This window comes from Homo sapiens, chromosome 8, assembly GCF_000001405.40.
Source record: "Homo sapiens chromosome 8, GRCh38.p14 Primary Assembly".
Classification (NCBI taxonomy): Eukaryota; Metazoa; Chordata; class Mammalia; order Primates; family Hominidae; genus Homo; species Homo sapiens.
In genome coordinates this window covers 85,813,599-85,816,705 of record NC_000008.11, presented here as the reverse complement: position 1 = coordinate 85,816,705, position 3,107 = coordinate 85,813,599, and the positions used below count along the sequence as shown (strand labels likewise).

The 3,107-nt window shown below is 59.1% G+C and overlaps 1 pseudogene; it reads left to right on the top strand.

Annotated features, from left to right (window-relative positions):
• On the top strand, positions 1,057-2,189 carry REXO1L5P (REXO1 like 5, pseudogene; annotated as a pseudogene).

The window sequence follows — 3,107 nt, the reverse complement described above, 5'->3', positions numbered from 1 at the left end:
CCCCTGGATACCCAGAAGCTAAGAAGGTGGCCGAGGAGGCGGCCCTGGAGGCAAGCCGCCATTTGGGAGGGGAGCAGAGCCAGGCCGGTGCTCCCGAAGGCAGCAAGATGTTGCGAGCCACAGCTCCCTGCTGGTTCCGCCCTGGATACCCAGAAGCTAAGAAGGTGGCCAAGGAGGCGGCCCCGGAGGCAAGCCGCCATTTGGGAGCGGAGCAGAGCCCGGCCGGTGCTCCCGAAGGCAGCAAGATGTTGCGAGCCACAGCTCCCTGCTGGTTCCCACCTGGATACCCAGAAGCTAAGAAGGTGGCCGAGGAGGCGGCCCTCGAGGCTCCAGAATTCCCACTGCCCTCTCATCAGCCTGCCCAGAGCTTCGGGCTCTGGGTGCCCCAGATGCACAAGCAGGCCTCAGCATTTGTGGACATCCAGGCGGAGCCCCAGAACAGGGGTCCGGCGGTGCCCCCAGCGTGGCCCAAGATGGTGACGGAGTCGTGCTACTTCCCTGCACAGAGGGGATCGGCCTGCCGCTTGCCAGCCACCCCAAGGCTGACAGAGAGGCCCTCGGGAGTCCGCATCTCAGCCCCCAGGAAGAGGAAGACGATCGCCCACTCTTCCAGCCCTTGCTTGGTCACAGGTTACACAGATGCCAAGAGAACCCGGGTGGCCAGCAGCAGCCAACGCTCCCGTGGCTCCAAGGTCGGCAGACAGCCAGGGAAGACGCGCAACAGGTCAGGGATGGCATGCAAGACCACCGCCACCACCAGCTCTAAGCGAATCGTCCGTCGTGCATCCTTACCGAGTTTGAGTTTGAAGAAACCCATTATCCTCCGAAGCTCTGGGTGCCAAGTCCCCACCGTCCTCCGCCGAGGCTATCTCCAACTGTTCACCGAAGAGTGTCTCAAGTTCTGCGCCTCCAAGCAGGAGGCCGAGGAGAAGGCGCTGAACGAGGAGAAGGTGGCCTACGACTGCAGCCCCAACAAGAACAGGTACCTGAACGTGGTCCTGAACACCCTCAAGAGACTGAAGGGCCTGACCCCCAGCTCCATGCCCGGCCTCAGCAGGGCCGCCCTGTACAGCCGCCTCCAGGAGTTCCTGCTCACCCAGGACCAGCTCAAGGAGAACGGCTACCCCTTCCCGCACCCCGAGCGGCCCGGAGGCGCCGTCCTCTTCACTGGCCAGGGGAAGGGGCCCGGCGACTCCTCCTGCAGGGTCTGCTGCCGTTGTGGCACCGAGTACCTGGTGTCCTCCTCGGGCCGCTGTGTACGCGACCAGTTGTGTTATCACTGGGGGCGGGTCCGCTCGAGCCAGGTGGCTGGAGGCCGGGTTAGCCAGTACACCTGCTGTGCAGCTGCTCCTGGCTCTGTGGGCTGCCAGGTGGCAAAGCAGCACGTGCGGGACGGCCGCAAGGAGAGCCTCGATGGCTTCGTGGAGACCTTCAAGAAAGAGTTGTCCAGAGACGCTTATCCAGGAATCTACGCCTTGGACTGTGAGATGTGCTACACCACGCATGGCCTAGAGCTGACCCGCGTCACCGTGGTGGACGCCGACATGCGAGTGGTGTACGACACCTTCGTCAAGCCCGACAACGAGATCGTGGACTACAACACCAGGTTTTCCGGAGTCACCGAGGCCGACGTCGCCAAGACGAGCATCACGTTGCCCCAAGTCCAAGCCATCCTGCTGAGCTTTTTCAGCGCCCAAACCATCCTCATCGGGCACAGCCTGGAGAGCGACCTGCTGGCCCTGAAGCTCATCCACAGCACCGTGGTGGACACGGCCGTGCTCTTCCCGCACTACCTGGGTTTCCCCTACAAGCGCTCCCTCAGGAATCTCGCGGCCGACTACCTGGCACAGATCATCCAGGACAGCCAGGACGGCCACAACTCCAGCGAGGACGCAAACGCCTGCCTGCAGCTGGTGATGTGGAAGGTCCGACAGCGCGCCCAGATCCAGCCACGCCACCGGTCCGCCTCTCCCGCCGCCCTGGCCTGTCCTTAGCCCCAGGCCTCTTCCAAAACCGCCATCAGTCCCGAGAGCTCACCCTGCCCACCTCGCCGCAAAGCGAAAGAAACTGGAGCAGCCGGCGGCAGGAGAGGGCAAAAAGCCAAGAGTAACCCCAACCCCCCACTCCCGGTCCCCCGGAATCCCTGCCGCGGCCCCTCGGGCCTGTCCACATCCCTCTGCCCCTCCCAGACCTCTGTCCTTCCACCAATCGCCTCCCGCAGCCCCGAGCCGCCACTCCCAGTCCCCCGAGTCCCTGCCGCGCGCCCTCGCGCCTGTCCACATCCCTCTGCCCATCCGAGACCTCTGTCCTTACACCACTAGCCACCCCACGTGGGACTTCCATGGCTTCTGAGTACAAGGCCAGCCCCCCGGCCCACCAGCTTTCGGAATGCCTGCTTACCTCTTTTTCTGTAGAGGCACCACAGGGAGGTGGGTGAAGCACTTCGGCTCTGGAGTTACAGATCTGGGTTCAAGGCCAAATTCCACCACTTACTAGGTTTGTAATATTGGACAGATAACGTCTTTGCGCTTCTACCTTTTGGTCTTTAAAGTGTGATCAAAAGAGACTTAGACTCCCACATAGTAATAATAATAATAATGGCAAACTTAACACCCCACTGTCAACATTAGACACACCAACGAGACAGAAAGTTAAAAAAGGATATCCGGGAATTGAGCTCAGCTCTGCACCAAGCGGACCTAGGAGACATCTACAGAACGCTCCACCCCAAATCAACAGAATATACATTCTTCTCAGCACCACATCACACTTATTTCCACATTGACCACATAGTTGGAAGTAAAGCACTCCTCAGTAAAAGTAAAATTACAGAAATTATTACAAACGGTCTCTCAGACCACATTGCAATCACACTAGACCTCAGGATTGAGAAAGTCACTCAAAACCGCTCAACTGCATGGAAACCGGACAAGCTGCTCCTGAATGAGTACTGGGTACATAACGAAATGAAGGCAGAAATAAAGATATTCTCTGAAAGCAATGAGAACAAAGACACAACATACCAGAATCTCTGGGACACATTTAAAGCAGTGTGTAGAGGGAAATTTATAGCACTAAATGCCCACAAGGGAAAGCAGGAAAGATCA